The sequence below is a fragment of the Homo sapiens genome, chromosome 1 (genome assembly GCF_000001405.40).
Source record: "Homo sapiens chromosome 1, GRCh38.p14 Primary Assembly".
NCBI classification, from domain to species: Eukaryota; Metazoa; Chordata; class Mammalia; order Primates; family Hominidae; genus Homo; species Homo sapiens.
The window spans coordinates 45,964,560-45,977,164 of record NC_000001.11 but is presented as its reverse complement, the minus strand read 5'-3'; the positions used below and the strand labels follow the sequence as shown (position 1 = coordinate 45,977,164).

The 12,605-nt window shown below is 41.0% G+C and overlaps 1 protein-coding gene across 34 annotated transcripts in view, besides 1 other annotated feature; it reads right to left on the bottom strand.

The window, feature by feature from the left end:
- The window catches only part of MAST2 (microtubule associated serine/threonine kinase 2), a 232,511-nt gene that overhangs the window by 58,958 nt on the left and 160,948 nt on the right, over nucleotides 1–12,605 (bottom strand). The gene's annotated exons all lie outside the window — the stretch shown is intronic.
- Nucleotides 1,485–1,604: a silencer, noted in NCBI's record as "silent region_836". NCBI's record gives its function as "represses an Ori minimal core promoter by ATAC-STARR-seq in GM12878 lymphoblastoid cells {active_cell/tissue: GM12878}" and the evidence as "EXISTENCE:reporter gene assay evidence [ECO:0000049][PMID:35858748]".

Sequence of the window (12,605 nt, the reverse complement as noted above, 5' to 3'; positions counted from 1 at the left end):
CTTTATATCCTGTTTTTAAAAAATTTCCCTATTTTAAGGCCATGCAGATTTTCTTCTGTACACCTTCTAAAAGTTTTACTGTATTACCTTTCACATTTAAAATTATAATTCACCTGGAATTGATTTTCTTGTGAAGAGCCACGTTTTCCAATTTCTCTATACAAACATCCAATGGATTTTGCCTACAGCTCTATAGTGCCACTTTTGTCATAAATCAAGTGTCTGAATACGTGTAAATTTGATCCTGGGTTCGTCTTCCTCCCCCTAACTCTTCTCTTCCTATTAGTATTCCTTATCTAAGTTAAGGGTATCAACACATGGCATTAATCACTCAGGGAATCTGAAGACAATCAATCCACATGCCACTGATTTAATCTCTTACATTTTTCTCATAGTCATATATTTTCTTTATTTCAAACATTCCCCTAACATCTTGATAATGGCAATGGCCTCTTAACTGGTCTTCCAACTGCCAGCACTGCCCTCTGTTAATAACTTTTATTTTAACATTTTTATCGTACAATTCACAAATTCTTATGGCCAAAAACCGTAGCAAATTGAATAAAAAGTTAAAGCTGCTTTTTTACTTTTTTCCACAGGTAATCACCACTAGAACAATGTGATTTTAATGTTTCCAGAGTTTTCCTTGCATTCTTCTCACATGTTGTGGCCCCTGAGTAGCTGGGATTACAGGCATGTGCCACTATGCCTGGATAATTTTTGTATTTTTAATAGAGATGGGGTTTTATCATGTCGACCAGGCTGGTCTCCACCTCCTAACCTCAAGTGATCTGCCCACCTCAGCCTCCCAAAGTGTTGGGATTACAAGTGTGACTCACTGTGCCCGGACCACTTTGCCTCTTCAAGCCTTAAAGAGTATTTAGTTTTCCCCGGGTGTGGTGGCTCACACCTGTAATCCCAGCAATTTGGGAGGCTGAGGTGGGCGGATCACCTGAGGTCAGGAGTTCAAAAGCAGCCTGGCCAACATGGTGATACCCCGTCTCTACTAAAAATAAAAAAAAATTTGCTGGGTGTGGTGGTGCACACCTGCAGTCCCAGCTACTTGGGAGGCTAAGGCACAAGAATCACTTGAACCCAGGAGGTGGAGGTTGCGGTGAGCCGAAATTGCACCACTGCACTCCAGCCTGGGCAACAGAGAGAGATTCTGTTTCAAAAAAAAAAAAAAAGTATTCAGTTTTTAGATTAAAAAACCACCTTTGGCAAATCTTGCCTCCACAAGAAAATGAACATATATACAAAATTGGGAATATAATTTTAGGGGATTTATGGCACTTGTAAAACCACTCAGGGTCCATGGATCTTAGGTAAAAAAGAGTCCATGCCATGGACTCCTCATACCTCATCCCTTTAGCACTGCATATAGCCCTCCGTGACTTTCTGCCTACCCATCCATATTTGATTAGCAGTTTATAATCTAGTAACAAACGATCTGTACTTTTTTATGGTCTGTGTTTTTTTTTTTTTTTTGAGACAGAGTCTTGCTCTGTTTCACAGGCTGGAGAGCAGTGCAGTGGCGTGACCGCGGCTTACTGCAGCCGTGACTTCCTGTACTCAAGCGATCCTCCCTCCCACCTCAGCCTACTGAGCAGCTGGGACTACAAGTGTGTATTACCACACCTGGCTTTTTTTTTTTTTTTTTTTTTTTTTTGGAGAGACAGGGACTCACTATATTGCCTAGGCTAGTCTCAAACTCCTGACCTCAAGTGATCCTCCCACCTTGGCCTCCCAAAGTGTTGGAATTACAGGAGTGAGCCATCGTATCCAGGCAACTATAATGCTGTGGACTGTTAATTTCCTAATCATATAATTCTATTTCATACGGATCTTAGAATGAGCTTTCTACCTCATTCAATGAGCTACCTCCAAAAAGAACACCTTGCTTAATGACTAGCTTGGGTTACAAATCTTTACTTTTGTACTCCCAAGCACCCTGGACACACATTTAGTACAGCCCTTAACATACCCTGAACAGGTTGCAACTTGACTGTCCCCTGTGGATGCAGCTTCCTTGGCAGCTCTCTCAAATGATGGCTGTTGGATTTCACATGCCCTTTGTACCACTAGACCTAGAGGTGGGGTAGACATCCTGCTGGCTCATTTCATCTTCAGGCATTCTCCCTCTGTTCTCCATAAAAACACCCAGGTTTGAAATGATGTCATCAGACTACAACAACCATTACTCCTCCTTGCTAAAAGTCACATACAAACCTTTGGGAAATCCCCTTCACTCTTTAAGGATTTTATTCCTGTATCACTCACATTCTTTTTATCATGCCTTCTGTCAGGAGTAATTTCAGTATCTTCACACAATCTTTCCAAAATCCTAGCCTGAGAAGTTTCAGAAAGTCATATAGAAAAGCTGACTAGTCTCACTTTATGTGTATGATCACTAACTTTGGCTCTTCATACTACTGGAAATCAGACCATACTTCTTAGTGTACTCTTTCTCCCATCCTTTTAAAAGACTGTATCATACTTTATCCTCTCTCTTCAGGCTCAGCTAATCACCTCACTTTCCATTTTAGTGAGAAAAAAATATTTTTTTGAGACAGGGTCTTGCTCTTTCTCAAAATCACAATCACAGTTCCGTGCAATCACAGCTCACTGCAGCCTCGAACTCCTCAGACTCAGATGATCCTCCCACCTCAGCCTCCCAAGTAGCTGGAACTACAGGTATGCAACACCATGCCCAGCTAATTTTTGTATCATTTGTAGAGATGGGGTTTCACCATGTTGCCTAGGCTGGTCTCAAACTACTGGGCTGACATGATCTCCCGCCTTGGCCTCCTGAAGTGTGGGGATTACAGGCGTGAGCCACAGCACCTGGCCTCAACTAATCAGAGAAGAACTTCAATAAGCTATCTTTACCACATCTACCCAGCCATAATCTGCACTGTATTCCCCACATCCTCCCCTATTCCTAGAGAAGGACTGTTTGTGCTCCTAGCTAGGCTAACCTACTGCTTATTTACTAGATCCCATCCCCTCTCAACTATAGAAGGACACTGTGCCAGCCATTCTCCTTTCTCTTGCATTATCAGATCTTCTCTTGCTGTTGAATCACTTCCATCAGTGTATGTACATAGACACTGTTACTTTTTTCAAATAAGAAAACTCTCTTGATCTCTCTACCCATCTTTGCATTTCATTTCTGCTCTAACAGCAAAACTCCTTGACAAATTATTTAGTTATTATCTCCATTTTCTTTTTCCCTTTCTTTCTTGACTCACCAATTAGGTTTTGCCCCCACCATTCCATCAAAACAGCTAATCAATGTCAACACTGACATTACATTGCTACATCCCACTGGCAATACTCAGACTTCATGTCACTTGATCTGTCTATATCATTTGGCTCAGGTGATCACATGCTATTTCTGAAATACTCTTTTTATGTGGTTTCCAGGACACTATATATTCTAAGTTTTCCTCTTTCCTTTTGGGTCTCTCCTCATTCTTTTGGTCTCTGAAAACTGGAATGTCCCAGGGTTCAGTCCTTGTACCTTTAGTCCTTTCTGTCTATGTTCACTCCCTAGGTGATGACATCTAGACACACAGATTTAAGATCTTTTTATATGGTGAAAGTCCAACATTTGTATCTCTAGCCCTATTTTTTCCTTGAAATCAAGACAAACATACTGAATTATTCACACAGATGTCTGGAAGACATCTCAATATAGTTATCGAAGGTTCCCAAGGATTAAAGGTCCCAGGATCAAATGACTGTTTTTCAAAGGTGGGGTTTCTAGATGACACAAGCTATAGAAAGATTAGAGGTGGTGCTCAGAGAGCAGGAAGAAGGAAACTGAAATTATGGAGACAAGGTCTAAAGTACAGATCTAGGGCATAAGTGATTGAGGTAGGGTAGTGGAGAGGTTCACTGGAAGACAGGAGTTCAAAGAACAGAAAGTCTTAAGAACTGGAGTTATCAACTACGGGTGTATCGAAACCACCAAGAATAACACATTACAGCTCACAAACAGACTGAAAAAAAGAATAATACAGGAGTAGAACTGAAGAGAGTAATTGGAGTCAAGAGCTAAAATTTTTACAATTGCAATGTATGAAGAGTTTTACAGCTGCAATGATAGGTACTAAATGATACAAATTAATGATATGTAAGATTCTAAGTTTGGGGAGATTAGGGAGAAGACAGTGAAAATAATGAAAAAACAGAGGACATCTACCCTTACTACTAGACCCAATGCTTTGAGATTATGAGAAAAGGGTTAACACTTGAGTAGTCTGCAGATAATCAGTGTTCTAAGCTCTCCCTCTTCCCCTATGATTCCACTAGAACAGGAAGAAGAAAGAATGTTTAGAGAACAGATTACGAGACAGATCTTGCTGATAAAGAACTGGAATTCCAAAAGGTACACTGGAAGGGTTTCCAGAGTCAGGGAGGGATAAGACAGAGCAGGGAATGTTCAGAGGTTTAGATGAATTAAGCATGTAGATGATGGGGTGCGGGTAACCTGAGGGTTCCTGTGGCAATGGGCATAAACAGGAGTAAGGGATAATGAAATTAGCCCAAATAGATTCAATGCAGATAGAGGTGAGGAGTCTATACGTGTCAGGGAGTAAAGAGGGATGGATTACTGGCTGTAAGGGATGTAGCCGTCACATGACCTGCCACCCCTCTCCAAGACTACCCAATTAGTGGCCTGGGTCTAAAACTTTCCCTCATAAGGAAGCTGTGTGGCAAGCTGTCACTTGGCCACAGATTCTTCTTCCTTATTAGCAGAAACTTTTCCCCTCTTCTGGGTATGGAGTAAACTTCTTTGTATTGCTTAAGTGTGTGTGGCATGTGGCACACGGCCAGCCCCACCAGTGTATCTGCCCACCACAGGATGGAATGGGATCTTTGCCACTGGTGCACATCACAGACTCTGATCTTGTTGTATCTGTCCTTTCTGTGAGTGAAATGCTGTTCCAACCAGTGTGCTGAATGTTGAGTCCTCCTTGACAGCTTCAAACCCAAAGAAGATGCAGTGGGCCGAGGTCTGTGGACTCCTACTGACGGCTGGCATTATTACGATCTTAGTCATCTTCCATGCAGCAGGAGTCCTCACCTGGAATTGGCAGCTGGATCTTCCTGCTTGACACTAGGGCTTGAGCTTGACCTTGAATGATAGGGACTGAATGCTTTTATGGAAGGCACACTCTTAGTTCCAGAATACTCATGTAAAATCAATTAGATGATATGTAACAAACAACATTAAAATATGCATGCCTCCTGACCTATTGATCCTACTCCTAAAAATTTATACAGTTTATTCCAAGACTTATCAATTCCATGCCTCCATATATATGCCAGAAAAAGTCTGTGTACATATATACAAAAAGAATATGAAGAAGGATGTTTCTGTAGCATTGATGACTATAATAGTGGAAAAGTATAAACAATCTAAATGTCTATGCTGGTTATCAATTTAATGCCACTAAGCTTCAAATTAATCCTTCAATACCTGCTCTGAGATAAAGAAGAGAATTCCTTTAAGCATCATCTATCCTCTACAGTGAGCATGATGTTAAACTTTCTCAGTAGAGGGTATTGGAGGCACACTGCAGAAAGAACAGGCTCTTGGTGCTAATTCTAGCAACTGCATTATCAGTCAGTGGTGTGGGAACGTGGATATGTGGGTTGCTCTGCCCCAATCACACAGACACCTTTCCACAGCCTTACCTACAAAGATACTGTGTGCTCCAGGCCTGTCCCCACTGACTCTCTCTGTTTGCTTGCTCAACACCCCGACCCCCAGGATTTGTCTTTCACGTCCTTCCTGAGGACACAAAGTGCTCACAGCAGCACCTCTACTTTCTCTCTCTAGGCCTGACCACTGGCTGAGACTCACCTGTGCTCCAGAGGGCTATTCCCTGATTGCTGAGTAACTGTGGACCAGCTTTGGTCTGGGCAAACCAGAAAACATCTCTGCCATCCAGTGGGCTGCAACTACATCCAGTGGGCTGCAACTACAACAAGTCCTGAATCCAGCCTAGAGAATCCTCCTTCCAAGTTAGTTCTTCCTTGAGAACTCTCCTTCAGCTCTATGGTAGCCTATGGAAGTTAGGCTCTTATTGTCATAGTTTGTATTACTTTTATTAAAACTTTTTAAAATCGCTTGTCTGTTATCTGTCTCCTGATTGGGCCTAGACTGATGCAATATTCACCAATAAGAAAATGAATACATTGTGGTACAGTTATACAATGAAATACTCTACAAGTTATAAAAATAAATAAACTGACTTCCAGTTCTGGCCTGGCATGTAAAGAGCTTAGGAGTTGCCACTCTGTTTTAACAAGTAAAAAGCTGAACAAACTGGAGGAGAAAAAAAAAAAAAAAAACACTTCTTAGTCTGTCAGCGAAGTGACATCACAGGATGAACCACTGCCCCCAAAACTGGACAGACAGACAGCAGACACAGTGAGGTACAACTTACCAGAGCAGAAATTCTTTTTTTTTTTTTTTTTTTTTTGAGACAGAGTCTTCCTCTGTTGCCCAGGCTGGAGTGCAGTGGTGCGATCTGGGCTCACTGCAAGCTCTGCCTCCTGGGTTCAAGCCGTTCTCCCGCCTCAGCCTCCTGAGTAGCTGGGACTACAGGCAGCTGCCACCACACCCAGCTAATTTTTTTTTTGTATTTTTAGTAGAGACAGGGTTTCACCATATTAGCCAGGATGGTCTCGAACTCCTGACCTCGTGATCCGCCTGCCTTGGCCTCCCAAAGTGCTGGGATTACAAGTGTGAGCCACCGTGCCCGGCAGGAGCAGAAATTCTTAAGCAGAAACCTCCATAGCAACCAGTGCCAGGGCAGGAAGACCTGAACTGTAACTGAGGAATTGCTGGAAGCTCAGTGTGGATTATGCTGAGAGTTAAAAACTCCAGGGGGATCTAGTCATGGGGGGGCTCCCAAATTTTTGTAAGTTTTATCCAAAGGAGCCTTACTGGATCCTCACAGTGATTACTGAAGAAAATCTCATGATTCCAGCAGGAGGAGGGAAAAGGAACTGTTTTGATACGCGCCGGAGCATTCTGTTCTTAACAAGCCTGTCCTTGGGAGAAACTATTTTGTTTGCATCTAACTTGCTGGGATTTCATCAATGCCAGCTCTACTTGGGGGAAGAAATACCCAATTCCAGCAGCCAAGAACCATCCTGTCCCAGCTATGGTGTGGGGGAAATACTGAGAAGCACTGGAGAAGTTCACAGTCCAGGGACAAAGGCTCATCAAAAGACTGAGACCTAGTCACAAGACTATAGAACAGCATTCCCCAACCTTTTTGGCACCAGGGACTGTTTTCATGGCAGATAATTTTTCCATGGACCAGGAAGTGGGGAGGCAAGGGGTTTACAGGATAATTCAAGCACATTACATTTATTGTGTACTTTGTTTCTATTATTATTACACTGTGATGTATAATGAAATAATTATACAGCTCACCATAATATAGAATCAGTGGGAGCCCTGAACTTGTTTTCCTGCAACTAGATGGTCCTATCTGGGGGTCATGGGAGACAGTGACAGATCATCAGGCATTAGATTCTAATAAGAAGTGTGCAACCTAGATCCCTTGTATGCACAGTTCACAACAGGGTTCATGGTCCTATGAGAATCTAAATGCTGCAGCTGATCTGACAGGAGGCAGAGCTCAGGCGGTAATGTGAGTGATAAGGAGCGGCTGTAAATACAAATGTAGCTTCACTTGATTGTCTGACGCTTACCTCCTACTGTGTGGCCTGGTTTCTAACAGGCCATGAGAAGTACCGGTCCGTGGCCCAGGGGTTGCGGATCCCTGCTATGGAACACTTCTCCTCCCCTACACCTTACCAATACATTACTAAAGGCCTATTTATCACAGCTACTTTTACTCAGTTCATCTCGTCCACCTTTTAACAAAAAAATTACAAAGCTCACTAAAAAGCAAAAAATAGTTTGAGGAGACAGAAAAAGCATCAGAACCAGAGTCAGATATGACAGGAATGTTGCAATGATCAGACTAGGAATTTTTCAAAACGATGATTAATTATGCTAAGCACTTTAATGGGAAAAGTAGACAACACGCAAGAACAGATGGATAATATAAATAGAAATTCTAAGGAAGAATCAAAAGAAAATGTTAAAGATCACTGTAACAGAACTGAAGAATGCCTTTGATGGGCTCATTAATAGACTGAACACTGCTGGGGAAATAATCTTTGATCTTGAGGATATGATAACAGAAACTTCCAAAACTAAAAAGCAAAGAAAAAAGGACCGAAAAAAAAAAAACCAACACCAGAACATCCGAGAACTGTGAGACAATTACAAAAGGTGTGATACGTATGCAGCAGTAATACAAGAAGAAAAAGAGAGAAAGGAAGGGAATTATTTGAAGCAATAATGACATAAAATTTCCCCAAATTAAAGTCAGACACAAAGCCATAAATTCAGGAAACTCAGAAAATACCAAGCAGGATAAATTCAGAAAAAAACTGCACTTAGACATATCATACTCAAACTATAGAAAACCAAAGGTACACAAAAATCTGAAAGAAGCCAGAGGGAAAAAACACCTTATCTTCAGAGGAGCGAAGACAAGAATTACATCCAACTTCTCACAAACCGCACAAGCAAGAAGATAGTGGAGTGAAATATTAAAACTGTTGAGAGACAAAAAAAAAAAACAACAAAAAAACCAAGCAAGCAACCTAAAATTCTGTACCCTGTGAAATTATACTTCAAAGGTGAAGAAGAAATAAAGATTTTCCCTAACAAAAAATGGGGGATTCTATAGCAGTAGATCTGCCTTGCAAGAAATGTTAAAAGAAGTTGTTCAGAGAGAAAATTATATAGGGGAGAAAGTGAACTCTACATGAAACAAGCAAGCACACTGGAGAAGTGATGAAGGTAAACTAAAAACTTGTTTTTCTTATTCTTAATTTGTCTAATAGATAAGTCTGTTCAACATAATATAGGATAAGTATCCCTTATCAGACCAGAAGTGTTTTAAATTTCAAATTTGTTTTCTGATTTTGAAATATTTGCATTATACTAACCAGCTGAACATCCCAAATCTGAAAGCCCAAAATCTAAAAGGCTCCAACAAGCATTTCCTGTGAGGTTCATGTTGGTGCTTAAAAAGTTTTGCATTTTGGATTTCAGATTTTTGGACTGGGGGTGCTTAATCTGTAACAGCAACAATGTATGTGATTAGGTATGCTTTTACATACATTATGCACACACGTACACACATGTGCTTATATATAAGTGAAATGAATGACAGCAAAATTACAAGGTACTGAAGAGAGGATTTAGGTGTATTTTGCCATCATAAGGCAAAGTGGTATAGTGGTATTTGAAGGTTGATTTGGATTACAGTGGACCTTTGAACAACACAGGTTTGAACTGTACGGGTTCACTTATACACAAATTTTTTCAGTAAAAGTTGTATGCCTGCCACTCCTGCATCCCTTTCCACCTCCTCCACCTCTTCTGCCTCTGCCACTCCTGACATAGCAAGACTAATCCTTAATCTTCCTCAGCCTACTCAATGTGAAGATGATGAGGCGAAGACCTTTATGATGATACACTTCCAATTAATGAACAGTAAGTATATTTTCTCTTCCAGTGATTTTCTTAACAAATTTTCTTTTCTCTAGCTTATTTTGTTATGAGTATCGTATATAATACATAAAACATACAAATTATGTGTTAATTAACTATGTTATCAGTAAGGCTTCTGGTCAACAGCAGGCTATTAGTAGTTAAATTTCGGGGCAGTCAAAAGTTATATGCAAGGCCAGGTGCAGTGACTCACGCCTGTAATCCTAGCACTTTGGTAGGCTGAGCCAGGCAGATCACTTGTGGTCAGGAGTTCAAGACCAGCCTGGCCAACATGAAACGTCATCTCTACTAAAAATACAGAATTAGTTGGGTGTGGTGGCACACACCTGTAGTCCCAGCTACTCGGGAGGATGAGGCAGGAGAATCGCTTGAACCTGGGAGGTGGAGGTTGCAGTGACCCAAGATCGCATCACTGCACTCCAGCCTGGGTGACAGAGTGAGACTCTCTCTCAAAAAAAAAAGCCTGCCTGGGCCTCCCCAAAGTGCTGGGATTACAAGTGTGAGCCATCGTGCTCCGCCAGGAATTGAAAATTAAATGAGATACAACTACGCATAGATTAGAATAGCCAAAATCTGGGAGCCTAAGAGCTCAAGGCTGTATTGAGCTGTGACTGTGCCACCATACTCCAACCTGAATGATGGCGTGAGACCCTGCCTTAAAAAAAAAAAAAAAAAAAAAAAGACCCAGATCCACACACTGACACCACCAAATGCTGGCAAGGATATGATGCAACAGGAGCTATTCATTTACTGCTGGTGGGAATGTAAAATGGTACCACCCCTTTGGAAGGCGGCCTGGGAGTTTTTCTTTTTCTTTTTCTGAGACAGAGTCTCACTCTTTTGCCCAGGCTGGAGTGCAGTGGCACAATCTTGGCTCACTGCAACCTCCACCTCCCTGGTTCAAGCGATTCTCCTGCGTCAGCCTCCCAAGTACCTGGGATTACAGGTGCACACCACCATGTCTGGCTATTTTTAGTAGAGACGACATTTCACCATGTTGGCCCGGCTTGTCTTGAACTCCTGACTTTAAGTGATCTGCCCACCTTGGCCTCCCAAAGTGTGGGATTACAGGCGTGAGCCACCACGCCCAGCTTGAAGAGTTTTTTTTTTTTTTTTTTTTACAAAATCAAATACACTCTTACCATTCAATATAGCAATTGTGCTCCTTATTTACCCAAATAAGTTAAAAATTAACGTCTACCCAAAAACCTATACACAGATGTTTATAGCGGCTTTTTCACAATTGCCAAAACTTAGAAGCAACCAAGATGCCCTTCAGTAGGTGAGTGGATAAAAATAAACCGTGGTATAACCAGACAACAGGATATTATTCAGAAAGAAATGAGCTATCAAGCCATGGAAAGACATGGAGGAAACTTCAGTACGTATTACTAAGTGAAAGAAGCCAGTCTGAAAAGGCTATTGTATGATTCCAACTATATGACATTCTGGAAAAGGCAAAACTGTGGAGACAGTCAAAAGATTACTGGATGCCAGGAGTTAAGGGGAGAAAGAAATAAATAGGCAGAGCACAGATAATTTTTAGGACAGTGAAAAGACTGTATGATACTATAATGGTAAATGATAATGTTGCCCAGACACACAAAATGTATACCACTAACAGTGAATCTTAATGTAAACTAGTGCCTGGGTGATGTGTCAGTGTAGGCTCATCAACTGTAACAAATGTAGCACTCTGGTAGGGAGCTGATAATGGGGAGCCTATATATAGGTGAGGGCAGGGGGTATATGGTTTATCTCAGTATCTTCCTCAATTTTGCTGTGAACCTAAAACTACTCTAAGAAATAATTAAAAAAAAAATAAGGTAGGGAGTTTCCATTTCTCGAATGGCTGGGTATGTACCTACTGAACTGACATTACTGACACTGTAACCTACTTATGTAGTAGATATTTAATACTGAATACACACATAGGCTCAAAATAAAGGGATGGAGGAAGATCTACCAAGCAAATGGAAAACAAAGAAAGGCAGGGGTTGCAATCCTAGTCTCTGATAAAACAGACTTTAAACCAACAAAGATCAAGAGAGACAAAGAAGGCCATTACATAATGGTAAAGGGATCAATTCAACAAGAAGAGCTAACTATCCTAAATATATGTGCACCCAATACAGGAGCACCCAGATTCATAAAGCAAGGCCTTAACTTAGAGACTTACAAAGAGACTTAGACTCCCACACAATAATAATGGGAGACTTTAACACCCCACTGTCAACATTAGACAGATCAGCGAGACAGAAAGTTAACAAGGATATCCAGGAAATGAATTCAGCTCTGCACCAAGTGGACCTAATAGACATCTACAGAACTCTCCACCCCAAATCAACAGAATATACATTCTTCCCAGCACCACACCGCACCTATTCCAAAATTGACCACATAGTTGGAAGTAAAGCACTCCTCAGCAAATGTAAAAGAACAGAAATTGTAACAAACTGTCTCTCACACCACAGTGCAATCAAACTAGAACTCAGGATTAAGAAACTCACTCAAAATCGCCCAACTACATGGAAACTGAACAACCTGCTCCTGAATGACTACTGGGTACATAACGAAATGAAGGCAGAAATAAAGATGTTCTTTGAAACCAACGAGAACAAAGACACAACATACCAGAATCTCTGGGACATATTTAAAGCAGTACGTAGAGGGAAATTTATAGCACTAAATGCCCACAAGAGAAAGCAGGAAAGATCTAAAGTTGACACCCTAACATCACAATTAAAAGAACTAGAAAAGCAAGAGCAAACACATTCAAAAGCTAGCAAAAGGCAAGAAATAACTAAGATCAGAGCAGAACTGAAGGAGATAGAGACACAAAAAAACCCTTCAAAAAAATCAGTGAATCCAGGAGCTGGTTTTTTGAAAAGATCAACAAAATTGATAGACTGCTAGCAAGACTAATAAAGAAGAAAAGAGAGAAGAATCAAATAGACACAATAAAAAATGATAAAGGGGTTAT